This window comes from Homo sapiens, chromosome 13 (genome assembly GCF_000001405.40).
Source record: "Homo sapiens chromosome 13, GRCh38.p14 Primary Assembly".
In the NCBI taxonomy this organism is placed as follows: domain Eukaryota; kingdom Metazoa; phylum Chordata; class Mammalia; order Primates; family Hominidae; genus Homo; species Homo sapiens.
The window spans coordinates 71,280,024-71,296,224 of record NC_000013.11 but is presented as its reverse complement, the minus strand read 5'-3'; the positions used below and the strand labels follow the sequence as shown (position 1 = coordinate 71,296,224).

Sequence of the window (16,201 nt, the reverse complement as noted above, 5' to 3'; positions counted from 1 at the left end):
TAGCATCAGCTTCATGGTATCTCAGTAGACTAAATTCCAAAAGGGTGGGTGATACAGTTTAGCTTTGTGTCCTCACCCACATCTCATGTTGAATTATAATTCCCAATGTTGCAGGTGGGGCCTAGTGGGAGGTGACTGGATCATGGGGATGGTTTCTAATGGTGTAGCACCATCCCCTGAGTGCTGTCTCATGATAGAGTTCTCACAAGATCTTGTTGTTTGAAAGTGTGTAGCACCTCTCCGTTTGCTCTTTCTCTCTCCTGCCAGCCATGTGGATACACACTTGCTTCCCCTTTGCTTTCCACTATGATTGTAAGTTTCCTGAGGCCTCCCCAGGAAGCAGAAGCCTGTACAATCTACAGAACAATGAGCTGATTAAACCTATTTTCTTTATAAATTACCCAGTCTCAGGTATGTCTTTATAGTAGTGTGAGAATGGACTAATACAGTGGGCCTTTGGAATTTACTCAGATGTCTCCAGAAGCCACCAAAGGGCCCAGCATAGATTAGAAGTGAATGAGCAATTGGTAAATGAAGAAAGAAAATGGATGAACAGATATATGAATGGGTGCAACCAGGTATATAGACCACTGACTTCCATCCTCAAAGCCCAGAATTCATCAGAATTCTGTCGCTCTTACAGCTGCCCTGTCTAAAATCCTATCCCTACATAGCAATATTGGAAGGAGGAAAAGAATTGGGAAATAAAAATAAGCTGATTCTTTTTGCTCAGTGTTGCTGAGCAGACTCCAAGAAGGCCCTCACCAGCCCTTTCCACTGTGCCCTAGCCCCCTTCCCTAAAGGACCTGGCTGTTGGGAAAAAGAGTACCTTGGTGCTGGAGGTGAGAAATCTGAGCAGAAGCATATAGCATTCATTACACATGGTTTGCCATAACGTACAGCAATATAAAAACTTTGTTGCAGTTTCGTCTACAGAAATTTCTAAGAGACTAAGGAAATGGTTGACATAGGAAAATACGCTTCAAAAGAAAGTAGTATAGCTACGTATCCTTTTTAAACTTTGAAAATTTAAAAGATAAATGGAAAACTTATTTGAACACACTCAACAACTATATATTTTGCAATTAAGTAAACTAAATGCCTTTAGAAAAATAAGAGGCGTGTGGAAATAATCAAGGCAATCTTCCCTAATTAAAGCCATTGTACTAAAAGTGCTTGATAGCTTCTTGATACCCTGATAGCTGCTCAGGGTAAATTTGAGTCTCTCCATTCCCTTTTTGTTTTAATCTTGGGGTATGTGCTCCAAAAATTATCATCAAACCCATTCTCCCTTTTATTTGTATAAGGTAATATATAGAATGGATTGATCTGGCCACATTACACACACACACACACACACACACACACACACACACATGCACATGAAATGCCGTAAATAATAATGACTTAACTGAAAAGAAGATCATTTCTTTCTAATAAAGTAAGTCTAATAAAAGTAGTCCACAGCTGACACAGCAGCCCCTTGCTGTCTTCCAGCTCTTTGCTTGGCCACCGTTAGCTATGGCTCTCACTGATCTAAGATGGCCAATGGAGCTTCCACCATCCCAATTGCATTTTAGTTATTAGAATGAACTAAGAAAAGGAGAAAGTGAGCACAGGTTTGTATTTTTCCTAAAGTGCTCTGTTCTTCTATATATAACTTATTGCCTGGAACTTAGTCACACTGTTATAGCTAGCTGCAAGGAAGTTTGTCCAGTATGCATATAGCTCAATATGTAAGGTCACTGGATGTTTGCTGACCACTCTATTAGGTGTACCTCTAGCTCTTTATTGTTTGGGGACTTACTAGACTAAATGAAAACTTATCTGTCTGAAACACACGCAGAAGAAAAGGAGCAGCAGGAACAGATGTAAAATAGGAAATTGTGCTCATTAGCTCATCATAATAGTAAGATTCTGCTGGGCATAAATAGTTAAGCCCCCTAACCTAGTAATATAAGAGTCCCTGGTTACCTTACCTGTTCCTACTTCTGCTCTCTATAGAAGCGCTACTTCCATTGTCTGCTCTTATCTCTTGCTCCACCCTTTTGGGTAGGTTCTTCCTTTTCCTGAGCTCTCCATGGCTATTTCTAAGGTGGGCAATAGAAAGCATCCTTAATTAAGCCCCCAAATATCCTGCAGCCCAATTCATTTCAGTGCAGTTTCAGGTACTATTAAAATTTCAACAGTAATAGGCAGGTGCAGTCCAAGCTTGTGGTTTCTTTTGGCTTTCAGATCTTGTAGTTTTTAAGCCTGATTGTACCTTGAGACCACTTAAAAGGATAGACTTGGGTGGGAAGACAACATACTTAATATGATATTTGCTTCTAGCTTGCTTCCCATTGTCTGACAAAGAACTATTCATGGAAGGTCTTTTTAAAAGCTTTAATACCAGTGATTAATCTCCTGCTAAGGCTGTTTCTTTGGAGTAAACTTACAAGGGTTTCAGTTTGGAATGCAGAGCACTTGTCTTTTTTTTTTTTTTAATTCTGAAAGGCTCCAAATTTAATGCTTTTACACTGCAGACGAGAGAGAGAGAGAATTCCTCCCTAACATCTCTGCCTGCAGATAAGCTGGATCAAAGTTGAGCTCATCTCTCCTAGAACTCTGTTGAAAGCAACAAGAAACAGCTAGCACAGACAACATTTTATTTTATTTTTTAACACTTTCCCTTAAGGGTATTTGATCTGCTTTCCTGACAGCCTTTTGTCTGCTTTCCAAAGTGTGGCAGACAGCATTTTGGCCAAATCTTTTATCAATGAAGTATGTATTGCCAGGTTCTCAGCCTAAAATATTGGGAACACATTTTAGGCTCCAATATTGTATTATTGCATGCCCATGAAACAGATTCTATGTACATTAGGATTGTGATAGTCTGGAAATAACAGAGACTTAGAAAGTAGATTCTTAAAAAATATGTAGATTTATTTTTCGCTTTGAGATGTCAAATAGTTCCTGGCTGATAGAAAAGACTCCAATGCCATCAAAAGCTTACATCTTTATCTTTATTCTGCACCATTCCTGTGAACTTATTGCTAAGTTCACTTGGAAGGCCAGTGGGGCTGCTGCAGTTCTGATCATTATGTCCACGTGGCAAACCACAAGAAGGAAGGTATTAAATAAGGTGACTTGGGAGGCCGAAGCAGGCAGATTGCAAGGTCAGAAGATCGAGACCATCCAGGCTAACACGGTGAAACCCCATCTCTACTAAAAATACAAACACAAAATTAGCCAGGCATAGTGGCAGGTGTCTGTAGTCCCAGCTACTCACGAGGCTGAGGCAGGAGAATGGCGTGAACCCAGGAGGCGAAGCTTGCAGTGAGCCGAGATCACACCACTACACTCCAGCCTGGGCGACAGAGCGAGACTCTGTCTCAAAAAATAAAAATAAAAATAAAAATAAATAAATAAATAAATAAATAAAGGTGGCTCCACTGGGAGGTAGCTCATTTAAAAAATCCTCATTTGTCTAAGTTGAATCATCTTGCTTAATAACCTTCCCAGTTGTCCTGTTACAGGGAGTTAGACAGGCATAAGCTGGGCAGGAGAGAGCTCTCCCCAACCCACAAGGAATGTTGGGTGCTGGTTCAGCAGTTATCACATCGCCTCTCTAAATGTGATAAATTGGCAGCTGGCACCAGGGAGAGACCATTTCCTGATGGTCCACACCTGTTGCACTAAAGTGTTAAATGAATGCAGATTCCAGGGAGAGGCAACTTACTGGGCATGTGCATTAAGAGACAAAATGGCAAAGTTGGACCTTCCTGGGACACACCACCAGAAAAGGGAAAAAAGCCGCAGATGGGCATGCATACAACTTCCTAAACACTGTGTGTACTTACCTCCCAAGCGTAAGGACACTGTTCATGTGGAAAGCCCACCATAAGGGAAGAATCATGGGGAAGGGACCAGCCTATCAAGTCCTAGGATCAAGGCGAAACATTACACCTGACTTTCACATGCCTGTTTGTGTCTTGTCCAAGCGTACTTTTCTTTCTTTCCTAGTCTAAAGCCTTTTAAAATAAACTTCCACTCCTGTTCTGAAACTTGCCTTGGTCTCTTTTTCTGCCTTATGCCCTCAGTCAAATTCTTTCTTCTGAGGAGGCAAGAATTGAGATTGCTGCAGATCCATACGGATTCGCTGCCAGTGACTCGATGCCTACTATCGGTAACATATTTGGTGCCTTAAGACTCAACTACTTGCACTGGTAACACATTTGGTGCTGTGAGACTCAGATATTTCTCACCCATAACAGTCCCACCCAACACTCACATACCAGTTTTCAGAATTTAGTCCTCTGGTTGGCAAAGTTCCAAGAGAGATTAGGAACTGTTGTCTTTTGTTCTAGATAGCAATATGTCCAACTAAAAATTGAGTTTCTGCTATTAAGGAAGAAGAAGAGAGACATAGTTGAGGTAGAAGACAGGAGTAAAATGAAAGCTAGATGTCTTCTTTTATTGTCTGGCTAAACCACTCCCTTTCTGAAAGGTCAATGTATGGTGTGATGTCCACAGAATCACAGCTAGGGACACTATCTATGTAATTTACAATACTTTAACATTTGAAAAGGGACACCATTTATATGCTGGAACAATAAATATAAACTAAGATCCTCCTGGGAAAATCAAGATATATAAGCACTGCTATCCTAGTTAAGAGAAACCTCACTAGCTCCTGTCATTTACCTTCTCAGTAACCTAAGGCTAATGTCAATGTTTCGGTAACAGACAGATTGCTGTTTCAGTAAACAGTGTTTCGGTAACAGTGAGGGACTAAGTGGCTAAGTTGGCTGGACTTCCTGGGTCAATAGGGACTTCCCTAAGGGGACTTTCCCCTAAGCCAAAAATAAGTCATAGCTGCAAGCTAAGGGATTGAAACTTCAACCAATCAAAGGGGACCTTCCCCTAAGCCAAAATGAGTCACAGCTGCAAGCTAAGGGATTGACACTTCAACCAATCATACAGGGAGTTTAAGCTCTAGCTGCAGCCTGATGTTTTTAACCAATCAAGCCTGCCAACCCACAAGCGGATTGAAAATAAGCTAATTCTATAGGATAGAAAAAGGAAAAGAGGAGGGGTCATAAGGGGATATAAGCATAAGACACCCAAGCCAAAAACGGCAACCTTTCCGGGTCTCCTTCCACCTCGTGGAAGCTTTACTTTCGCTTTCACTTTACTTTCACTTTAATAAATCTTGCTGCCACACACTCTTTGGGTGCACGCATTTCTCCAATTGAGCTGTAACACTCGCCGCTGAGGTCCATGGCTTCATTCCTTGAAGTCCATGAGATCACGAACCCTTTGAGAAAAAAACCTTCCATGAGGAGAAGACTTCTGGTCTCAACAGGAATAATATTAATAACCAATATTAGTAGACCAAACATGTTTGCAGATATCTTGTTTGCTGCCTTCCCCAAACGGCTGAAACATTTTGAAAACAAATGAAAACAACAACAACAAAAATAAAAGTTTTAGAAATAAGTTTATTTAACACAATAGTTAAACTAATTGCTCAAATTCAGAGTAGTGAAAGGCAAAGTCAGGATTTTATCTCCAGTAGTGGTCATTGCTCAAAAATACTGTAAGTAAAACTAACAATCCTTTGTTGACTGGGGCAGAAAAGTACAGTCAAAACAAACAATAGACCACCTAAGACCTGTGGGAAAAAGCTAAGAAATGTTGTTTGTTTGTTTTAGAAACTAGAACTCTCAAAAGCAACACGCACACTTGGGAATTTAGAAAGCCAAGAGGCATGTTCAGAAAACACCTGAGATGACCTTAACCTTTCAGGTTGGGCTGATATTTAGGCTCAGTGCAAGCTAGGCTAACTGTTGAAGGAGTATCCCAGTGAGAGGTGAAGCCAGCTGGGCTTCTGGGTTGGGTGGGGACTTGGAGAACTTTTCTGTCTAGCTAAAGGATGGTAAACACACCAATCAGCACTCTGTGTCTAGCTAAATGTTTGTAAACACACCAATCAGCACTCTGTAAAAACGGACAAATCAGCACTCTGTGTGTAGCTAAAGGTTTGTAAATGCACCAATCAGCATTTTGTAAAAACGGACCAGTCAGCACTCTGTAAAATGGACCAATCAGCAGGGCATGGGAGGGGCCAAATAAGGGAATAAATGTTGGCCATCCCAGCCAGCAGCAGCAACCCGCTGGGGTCTGCTTCCACACTGTGGAAGCTTTGTTCTTTTGTTCTTTATAATAAATCTTGCTGCTGCTCACTCTTTGGGTCTGCACTAGCTTTATAAGCTGTAAAACTCACTGCGAAGGTCTGAGGCTTCACTCCTGAAGTAGGCGGGACCATGAACCCACCAGGAGGAACAAACAACTCCAGACGCGCCACCTTTAAGAGCTGCAACACTAACTGCGAAGGTCTGCGGCTTCATTCCTGAAGTCAGCGAGACCACACACCCACCAGAAGGAAGAAACTCCAGACACATCTGAACATCAGAAGGAATAAACTCTGGACACACCATCTTTAAGAATTGTAACACTTACTGTGAGGGTCTGCAGCTTCATTCTTAAAGTCAGCGAGACCAAGAACCCACCGGAAGGAACCAATTCTGGACACACAAGCATGGAGATAATGTGCAAAGACTGGCAGAGGTCTGTCTGTCTTTTTCTTTTTTTTTGTGTCCCTTCCCTTCCCTTCTCTTTCTTTCCTTTTTCATTCATTCTTTCCTTTTTCATTCATTCTATTTCTTTTCTTTCTCTCTTTCTCCTTCCTTCCTTTCTTCCTATTGGCTCCTTGCCTTCAAAGACATCTCTGTGAAAGCACTAGCTGAACACAAGCTATGCAGAAGAGATGTCAACACTTTACATGATCAGAAATGAAGTTTTTACAGGAATAGTTTGGGTAGGTCACTTTTCAGGTAGCAGACCCTGAGGAAGAGGGAAAATCTGAGTTCCAGAGTTGCTACATTGTAAGATTTAAATGCTCAATTTTAAACAAAATAAATCACAAGGCATACAAAGAAACGGGAGTCTATGCCTTATTCTAAGGAATGAAGTAAATTTACAAAATTCATTCCTATAGAAGTCCAGTCATTAGACTTACTAGGCCAAAAATTTAAAACAACTATTTTAAGTGTGCTCAAAGAGCTAAAGAAACACATGCATAAGGAAATAAAGAAAATCAGAAAAACAAGATATTTACAAAATTAGAATCTCAATAAAGAGAAATTATAAAGAAAAGCCAAACAGAAATTATGGGGCTGAAAGGTATAATAATGGAAATAAAAATTTTACTATAGGGGTTCAACAGAAAATTTGAGCCAGTAGAAGAAAGAATCAATGAATAAGAATGAAATAATTCTTGAGAATAAGCCCATTGAAATTATTGATTCAAGAACAGAAAAAAAAAGAATGAAGAAAGGTGAACAGTGCCAAACAGGCTTGTGGGAGATCATCAAATGGAATAACATACATATTGTGGGAACAGCAGAAAGAGAGGAGACAGAGAAAGGGGTATAAAGGATATTTGAAGAAAAGTTGCCAAAATCCCTTGAAATTGATGAAAGATACGACAATATACATCCAAGAAGCTCAATGAACTCTAAGCAGCAAAACTCAGGGAGTTTATCAACAATGAATGGAAAACTGAAAAATTCACCAATATATGGAAATTAAAGAACACACTCTCAAACAACCAACAGGTCAAAGAAAAACTCACAAGAGAAATGAGAAAATACATAGAGATAAATGAAAATGAAAATGAAAATATACCATACTAAAACTTTGGGATGCAAAAAAGTAATGTTCAGAGGAAAATTTCTAAGTGTGAGCACCACATTGAATATTTTCAAATCAGTAAGCTAACTTTACACCTTAAGAGGAAGAAAAAGAGGAACAAATTAAATCCAAAGATGGCAAAAGAAAGGAAACTTTAAAAAATAGCATGATTTAAAGAGGGAATAGAAAAAAAGAGAAAATCGATGAAACAAAATGCTGGTTTTTCTAAAAGATAAAAGAGAATTGACAAACCTTTAGCTACATAGATTAAGGAAAACAACAAAAATAACTAAAATCAGAAATGAAAGTGAGGACATTACTACTTACCTTAAAAGTAAAAAGTATTTTTAAAAAAGAGCATCAACAATTGTACGAGAACAAATTAGATAACTTGATGAAATGGCCAAATTCCTAGAGACGTACACATTATCTAAACTGACACAATATGAAAACAACAGACAAATAGTATGGAAATAGACAAACATGTAAATGTTTAGTGGATTTTTAACAAAGTTGATAAGATTATGCAAAAGGGAAAGGATGGTGTTAAAGTGACACAGTGCTTAAAAAATGGAATAGTCACTTAAAAATTAAACCCTTAATTTATAGTATACACCAAAAAATTCAAAATTGATCATAGAACCAAAGATGAAAACTAAAAGTTAAAAATTTCTAGGAGGAAATCTACAGAATCACAGCATAAAATTTTTAAGAATTTGATTTGGGGAGGTGGCAGAGAAAGATGGCCAGATGAAAGCCTCCACTGATCATCTCCCCTCAGGAAAACCAAACTGAACAACTATCCACACAGAAAAGCAACTTCATGAGAACCAAAAACCAGATGAGCAATTACAATGCCTGGTTTTAACTTTGTATTACTGAAAGAGGCACTGAAGACGGTAGGAAAGACAGTCTTGAATTGTGGACACAACCCCTCCTTCATCCTGTGGCATTGGCCACATGGTACAAAGAGAATGTCTGCACCTTGTGGGAGAGAAAGCGCAGTGACTGTGGGACCTTGCTTTGCAACTCAGTGCTGCTCTGTCACAGCAGAAAGCAACATGAAGCAGAACTCAGCTGGCACAAAGGTAGCTTTTAGACCAACCATAGCCAGAAGGAAATTGCAGATTGCAGTGGTTGGAGCCTGAGTTTCAGTAAGCCTTGCTACTACTATGGGCTAAAGTGCTTTGGGATTGTAAATAAACCTGAAAGGCAGTCTAAGCCACAGGGACTGCAATTCTTGGACAAGTTCTGGTGCTGCACTGGGCTTGACCCCTGTGGGCTTGGGGTCATATCACCCAGTGAGGCACCAGCCTGAGCAGCCAAGAAAGTGCTTTTTTGACCCCTCCTCCAACCCCAGGCAGCACAGCTCACAGCTCTTGGAAAGCCACCTTCCTTCTACTTGAGGAGAGGAAAGAGTAAAGAAAACTTTGTCTTGCAACTTGGATACCAGCTCATCCACAGTAGGATAAAACACCAGGCAAGCCTTGAGGTCCCTATTCCAGGTCCTAACTCCTGGATGTCAATTCTATACACTCCCTAGGCCAGAAGGGAGCCTGCTACCTTGAAGGGAAAGACCCAGTCCTGACAGGGATCATACCTGCTGACTAAAGAGGGTTTTGGCCCTGAATAATCAGCAGTGGTACCCACGCAGTACTCACCATGGGCCTTGGGTGAGACTCAGGGACATGCTGGCTTCAGGTGTAACCGAGCACATTACTAGCTATGTGGCTATGGGAAGGGATTCCTTCTATTTGAGAATAGGACAGGGAAGAGTAAGGAGAATTTTGTCTTGCAGCTTAGGAACCAGCTCAGCCACAGTGGGGTAGAGTACCAAGTAAGCTTGTGGAGTCCCCAGTTCCAGGCATTGACTCTTGGATGGCATTTCTGGACCATAGGGGAGCCCACTGCCCTCAAGGGAGCATCTGCCACAAGATATTCAAGAGCCCTTGGGCCTTAAATGAACATCAACCGTAGTCAGACAGTACTGCCACAAGCCTAGGGAAGTGGTCGCCATAAGAAGAGATTCCCCTGCTTGTGGAAAGGGGAGGAAAGAGTGGGAAGGAGTTTGTCTTGTGACTTGGGTGCCAGCTCAGCTATGGAAAAATAGAACACCAGGTAGATTCCTGAGGTTTTCTACTCCAGGTTCTGGTTCCCAGATAGCAACTCTGGACCTGCTAGGGACCAGGGGAAGCTCACTGCCCTGAAGGGAAGGATACAATCCTGGCTAGCTTTGCCACTTCCTGATTGTAGAGTTCTAGAGCTTTGAGCAAACGTGGGCAGTAGCCAGGCAGTTGCTATTGGGACCTTGGATAAGACTCAGTACTTTGCTGGCTTCAGGTCTTACCCAGTGCAGTTCCAGTGGTGGTGGCCAGAGGGTTGCTTGGGTCATTCCTTTCCTAGTTCCAGGCAGCTCAGAAAAAGAAAAAAAAAAAAAAAGAGAGAGAGAATCCATTGGTTTGCAAGAAAGTAAAAGAAGAGAACAAGTCTCTTCCAGGTAATCCAGAAAATTGTTCTAGATCTTATCAAAGAACACCAAAGTGATACCTCTACAATTCTGCAAAAGCCAGAGCATTACTGGGCTTGGGGTGCCCCCTAATGCAGATATGGTTGCAGTTACCAAAAACTTAGACCACAACACCCAAGTCCTTTCGAATATGTAAAAAGCCTTCCCAAGAAGGATGGGTACAAACAAGCCCAGACTGTGAAGACTACAATAAATACCTAACTCTTCAATACACAGACACAAATGAACATCCAAAAGCATGAAAAACATCCATGAAAATATGATCTCACCAAATGAACTAGATAAGAAACCAGTGACCAACCCTGGAGAGACAGCAAAATGTGAACTTTCAAACAGAAAATTCAAAAACACCTCTTTTTATGAAACTCAATGAAATTCAAGATAACACAAGAAAAGAATCCAGAATCCTATCAAATAAATTTAACAAATATATTCAAATAATTAAAAAGAGTCAAGGAAAAATTCTGTAGATGGGAAATGCAATTGGCCTACCGAAGAATGCATTAGAATCTCTTCACAGCAGAAGTGATCAATCAGAAGAATGAATATTGAGCTTGAAGACTGTGTATTTTAAATTACATGGTCAGAGGAGACAAAAGAAAAAAGAATAAAAAAATGAAGCAAACCTAAAAGATCTAGAAAATATTCTCAACAGGGAAAATCTAAGAGTTATTATCCTTAAAGAGAAAATAGAGAGAGATCAGGGTAGAAGTTTATTCAAAATGATATTAATAGAGAACATCCTGAACCATACAAAGATATCAATATTTAAGTACAATAAACTTATGGAACACCAAACAGATTTAACCCAATTAAGACTACATCAAGACATTTAATAATCAAACTTCCAAAGGTCAAGGATAAAGACCTTGCTAAAAGCAGCAAGAGAAAAGAAAGAAGTAACATAAAATGCAGTCCAATATGTCTGGCAGCAGAGTTTTCAATGGAAATCTTACAGGCTCTGAAATAGTGGCATGATATGTCTAAAGTGATGAAGAAATACAAAAACTTTTACCTTAGAGTAGTATATTCAGTAAAAAATTTTCTTCAAACATGGAGGAGAAATAAAGACTTTCCCAGAAAAAGAAACAAAAGCTGAGGGATTTCAACAACATCAAACCTGTCCTATAAGAAATGCTAAAGAGAGTTATTCAATCTGAAAGAAAAGGACATTAATGAGCAATAAAAATTATCTGAATATACAAAACTCACTGGTAATAGTAAATATAAAGAAAAACATATGACTGTAACACTGTAAGTGTGATGTGTAAATGACTCATATCTTAAGTAGTACGAATGAAAATAAACTGATAAAAGATAATACATATGACAACTTTTAAAGACTCAGACAGTAAAATAAGATATAAATAGAAACAATAAAAAGTTAACAAGTGGGAGGATGACGTTAAAGTGTAGAGTTTTTAATTTATTTTTCTCTTTGCTATTTAGCTTATTTATGAAAAAAGGACCCCAAAATCTGTTGCCTACAAGAAACACACTTCACCTATAAAGACACAGATAGCTTGAAAATAAAGGGATGGACAAAGATGTTTCATACCAACAGAAACCAAAAAAGAGCAGTAGTAGCTATACTTACATCAGACAAAATCGATTTCAAGACAAAAAGTATGAAAAGAAACAAAGAAGGTCATTATATAATGATAAAGGGGTCAATTCAGCATAAAGGGTATAATAATTGTAAAGATACATGCACCCGACACTGGAGCACAAAGATATATAAAGCCAATATTATTAGAGCTAAAGAGAGAGATAGACCCCAATGCAATAATAGTTGGAGACTTCAGGTTTCAGCATTAGACAGATTATTCAGGAAGAAAATCAAAAAAGAAACACCAGACTTAACCTGCACCATAAACCAAATGAACCTTATAGATATTTACAGAACATTTCATCAAATAGCTGCAGAATACACATTCTTCTCCTCAGCATATGAATCATTCTCAAGGAAGACTATTTGTTAGGCCACAAAACAAATCTTAAAAAATTCAAAAACTTGCAAATATCTCAAGTATTTTCTCTGACCACAGTGGAATAAAACTAGAAATCAATAACAAGAAGAACTTTAGAAACAATCAAAATACATGGAAATTAAACAATATGTCTCTGAGGGACCAGTGGGCGAGTGAAGAAATTAAAAAGAAAATGTAAAAATTTCTTGAAACAAATGATAATGGGAATAAAAGATACCAAACCTATGGGATACAGTGAAAGCTATACTAAGATAAAAGTTTATAGCTATAAGTACCTACATCAAAAGAGTAGGAAAATTTCAAAGAAACAATGCAATGATGCATCTTAAAGAACTAGAAAAGCAAGAGCAAACCAAACCCAAAATTAATAGAAGAAAAGTAATGACAAAGACCAGAGCAGAAATAAACAAAATCAACAAACTCTTAGCCAGACTAACCAAAAAGAGAGAGAGAAGACACAAATAAATAAAATCACAGCTGAAAAGGAGAAACTACAATTGTTACCACAGAAATTCAAAGGTTCATTAGAGGCTACTATGAACAAGTATATGCCAATAAATTGGAAAAACCTAGACGAAATGGTTAAATACCTAGACATATGCAACCACCAAGATTGAACCATGAAGAAATCTAAATCTGGACTAGATGAATAACAAGTAACCAGATTGAAGCCATAATAAAGTGTCCCACTAAAGAAAAGCCCAGTATCTGATGGCTTCATTGATGAATTTTACCAAACATTTAAAGAACTAATGCCAATGTTGTTCAAACTATTCTGAAAAATAGAGGAGGAGAGAATAGTTCCAAACTCATTCTACAGTGTCAGTATTACAGTGATACACAAATCGGACAAAGGCACATCAAAAAATAAAACTACAGGCCAATATCCCTGATGAACATTGATGTGAAAATCCTCCACAAAATACTAGCAAATTTAATCCAACAGCACATCAAAAAGATACTATGCAATGATCAGGTAGGATTTATACCAGGGATGCAAGATTGGTTTAGCAGATGCAAATCAATAAATTTGATACTTCACATTAACAGAATGAAGGATAAAAATTATCTGATCATTGCAATAGATGCAGAAAAAGTACTCAATAAAATTCAGCATCTCTTCGCGATAAACATTCTCAACAAACTAAACTTAGAAGAAACATACCTCAATTTAATAAAGGCCATATATGACAAACCCATAGGCAATATCATACTGAATAGAGAAATGTTTAAAATATCCCTCCACCCCCAAGAACTGGAGCAAGACAAGGATGCTCACTTTCACCACTCCTATTGAGCACATTACTGGAAATTCTAGCCAGCAATCAGGCAAGAGAAAGAAATAAGAGGCATCCAAATTGAAAGGAGGAAATATAATAGTCCATTTCACAGGTGATATATTATATTTAGAAGGAACATACCTCAATACAATAAAAATCATATATGACAGACCCACAGCTAGTATCATACTGAATGGAGAGAAATGGAAACCCCCTCCTTTAAGATCTGGAACAAGACAAGGATACCCACTTTCACCACTGTTATTCAACATAGTACTGGAAGTCCTAGCTACAGCAATCAAACAAGAGAAAGAAGTCATCCAAATTGGGAAGGAAAAAGTCAAAGTATCCTTCTTTGTAGATGATATATATGATCTCATATTTACAAGAACCTGAAGACTCTACCAAAACCTATTAGAACTGATCAACAAATTTAGTAAAGTTGCAGGATAAAAAATCAACATACAAAAATCAGTAACATCTCCATGTGCCAACAGCAAACAATATGAAAAAAAAAATCAAGAAAGTAATCCCATTTACAATAGCTAAAAATAAAATTAAATACCTAGGAATTAACTTAACCAAAGAAGTAAAAGATTTCTGCAATGGACACTATAAAGCAATGATGAAAGAAATTGAAGAGCACATAAAAAATAGAAAGATATTCTACGTTCATGGATTGGAAGAATAAATATTGTTAATATGTCCATACTACCCAAAGCAATCTACAGATTCAGTGCAATCCCTATCAAAATACCAATGACATTCTTTGCAGAAATAGAAAGAAAAATCCTAAAATTTATATGGAACCACAAAAGACACAAAATAGCCAAAGCTATCCTGAGCAAAAAGAACAAAATTGCAGGAATCACATTACCTACGTTTGAATTATACTACAGAGCTATAGTAATCAAAAGAGCATGATACTGGCATAGAAACATATAGAGATGAATGGAACAGAAGAGAGAAACCAGAAACAAATCCATACATCTACAGCTAACTCATTTTTGACAAAGTTGCCAAGAACATACATTGGGGAAAGAATAGTCTCTTCAATAAATGGTGCTGGGAAAGCTGGATATCCATATGCAGAAGAATGAAACCAGTTTCCTATCTCTAACCACACACAAAAATCAAATCAGGGTGGAATGAAGACTTAAATCTAAGACCTTAAACTATGAAACTACTAAAAGAACACATTGTGGACACTCTCCAGGACATTGGATTGGGCAGTGATTTTTTGAGTAATACCACACAATCACAGGCAACCAAAGCAAAAATGGACGAATTAGATCACATCGAGTTAAAAAGCTTCTGTACAGCAAAGGAAATAATCATCAAAGTGAAGCGACAATCCACAAAATGAGAGAAAATATTTGCAAACTATGGGTCTGACAAGGCCTTAATAACGAGAATATAGAAGAAGCTCAAACAACTCTATAGGAAAAATTCTAATAATATGATTAAAAATGGGCAAGTGATCTGTATAGACATTTCTCAAAAGGAGACATACAAATGGCAAACAGGTATATGAAAAGGTGCTCAACATCATCAATCATCAGAGAAATGCAAATCAAAACTACAGTGAGATATCATCTCACCCTAAAATGGCTTTTGTCTAAAAGAAAGGCAATAATGAATGCTGACAAGGATGTGGAGTAACTTGTACACTGTTGATGGGAATGTAAATTAGTACAATCACTATGAATAACAGTTTGGAGTGTCTCAAAAGACAGCAAATAGTTCTACCATATGATCTAGGAATCCTACTGCTAGGTATATACCCCCAAAAAGGAAATCAGTATATCAAAGAGCTATCTCCCATGTCTAAAGCAGCATTATTCACAATAGCCAAGATTTGGAAGCAACCTAAGCGTCCATTAACAGATAAATGGATAAAGAAAACGGGGAACACATACACAATAAAGTGCTATTCAGCCATAAAAATGAGTGAGATCTGTCATTTGCAACAACATAAATAGAACTGGATGTCATTATGTTAAGTGAAATAAGCCAGGCACAGAATAACAAACTTCACATGTTCTCAGTTATTTGTGGGAGCTAAAAATTAAAACAACTGGACTCCTAGAGATAGGGAGCAGAATGATGGTTACCAGACTCTGGAAGTGCAGTGGGGTTGGGGGAGTGGGGATGGTTAATGGGTACAAAAATATAGTTAGACAGAATGAACACGATGTAGTATTTGATAGCACAACAGGGTGACTAGAGTAAATAATAATTTATTGTACATTTTTACATAACTAAAATAGTGTAATTGGATGATGTGTAACCCAAAAAAGGATAAATCCTTAAGGTGAAGCATACCCCATTTACTCTGATATGATTATTATGCATTGTATGCCTCTATCAAAGTATCTCATGTACCCCATAAATACATACACCTACCATGTACCCAGAAAAACTAAATAAAAAATTTGATTTGTAAAATGATTAAAATTAAGTGACTTTAAAAGAATAAACCCATTTTATGCAAATATACTCTTGCTTGCATTTTCTGTTGTTTTTGACTTCGCCTGTTAAAATAAATCAGCATTCTAGACTCGTTTTATACATTGATAAGAAAATGTTCTGTACTTGCAAGTACATATGAAATGAGAAGAAAGGAAGGAAACAGAAATATGGGGAAAATGACAGTCATCATACAA

The 16,201-nt window shown here is 38.0% G+C and overlaps 1 annotated feature.

The window, feature by feature from the left end:
- Positions 4,747 to 5,036: an enhancer, noted in NCBI's record as "active region_7810". NCBI's record gives its function as "activates an Ori minimal core promoter by ATAC-STARR-seq in GM12878 lymphoblastoid cells {active_cell/tissue: GM12878}" and the evidence as "EXISTENCE:reporter gene assay evidence [ECO:0000049][PMID:35858748]".